This window comes from Homo sapiens, chromosome 3 (assembly GCF_000001405.40).
Source record: "Homo sapiens chromosome 3, GRCh38.p14 Primary Assembly".
Classification (NCBI taxonomy): domain Eukaryota; kingdom Metazoa; phylum Chordata; class Mammalia; order Primates; family Hominidae; genus Homo; species Homo sapiens.
In genome coordinates, this window is record NC_000003.12 from 161982325 (window position 1) to 161983860 (window position 1536).

General features: G+C 48.6%; 1 annotated feature.

Annotated features, from left to right (window-relative positions):
* Window positions 540-709: an enhancer, noted in NCBI's record as "experimental_65796 CRE fragment used in MPRA reporter constructs". NCBI's record gives its function as "activates a minimal promoter by MPRAs in K562 erythroleukemia cells, with activity observed for both the introgressed and non-introgressed 3:161700737 variant alleles {active_cell/tissue: K562}" and the evidence as "EXISTENCE:reporter gene assay evidence [ECO:0000049][PMID:34662402]".

The window sequence follows — 1536 nt, forward strand, 5'->3', positions numbered from 1 at the left end:
TTCTCAACTACAACAGGAGGGGCTAGAGATGAGACTGGTCACCCGAGGATCTGCTGCTAGACATAGGTTGGAGAGCCTGGTCACAGCTCAGAGATATGTGCATTGTCCAACAATTTTCTGCACAGATAAGATAGTTCATTGATTGCATCAGGAGGAGCTGGAACAGAAACTGGACCCCCTTGGAATCTGCTATAGGACAGATACTGGAATGTCCATCTCATTGGCTCAGATAGGCATGCATCTCCCAGCAAGCCTTAGCACAGATGGGACAGTTCCCAGAGTGCACTGGGAGGTGCCAGAGTGGAGACCTGGCCCCCTCTGGATCTGCCGTGGAGCAGAGGCTAGAGAGCCCAGTCTCACTGGCTCAAAATGATGCATGTCTTTCAGCAAGTTTCTGCACAGACAGGATAATCCCTGATTGTAGTGGGAAGTGCCAAAGCTGAGACTGGGTCTCCTAAAGATCTCCTGTGGGACAGAGGCTGGAGAGCCTATCTTCTTGGCTCATAGAAGTATGTACCTCCCAGAGGTCTCAGCATGGATGGGATAGTTCTCCGACTGCAATAGTAGGGCTGGAGCTGAGGCTGGGGAATGGTGTCTGGGGAGCATGGTCTCATTGGTTCAGAGTAGCACATGTCTCCCAGGAGAACCCTGCCCAGATGGGTTAGTTCCTCAGCTGCATCAGGATTTGCTGGAGCTGAGGCTAGTCACCCATAGGATCTGCTGTGGGGCAGAGGCTGAAGAACCCAGCCTTGTTGGCTCAGAGGAGATAGCATCTCCCAGCAAGTTCCTGGGCAGACAAGATAGTTCCCTGTCTTCAGTAGAAGGGGACAGAGAGGAGACTGGGTCCCCATGGAATCTGCTATGGGACAGAGGTAGGCGAGCCCTTCAGGGAGGCTCTGACTCCTGGCCTGTAAGATACAAGTGAGGCTTCCTCTGTGTCCTTGCATGAGCATCTCTAAGCTGACACCTCAGCTGAGGAGAGCTAGAGCTAAACCCCAGAGGAAGCTTCAGGTTCACTGCTGAGACTAATGTCAGTGAACAAATGAGCCTTTCCTCCAAGGCACTAGTGTGCATGATTCCTTTTGCACCCCTTGACAGATGGCTTTGAATGCAGTCTCAAGGCCAAATGGAGCTATAGCAAACCCCCTTGGAGAACTGGGCCATTTCTGGGCTTGAACCCGGGAGCAAGCTTCATGGATCAGCCACCTGGTTGTCTGCACTCTCAAAATGACCTTCCTAGGTGTTGGGCTCCATTGAGATTTTTCAAAAACTTCTATTAAATCCTGAGGCTCTTGCAGAGAGACTTGACTGTGAATGGGTGCAGGTCTTATTTGGTGGATATAAGCAGGATACTGTCTATTCTGACATTTTGATGACATTCCTACCTGGTTTCTTCCATTGATCTTAATACTAATAAAATTTTTCTTCTTATTATTACATAATAATAATACTATTATTAACTTCATGTATTAATTTAAATGGGTACCTGCCATGCATGGAAGTTAGGTCTATTGTTTGAGATAGCTCATATAGCTT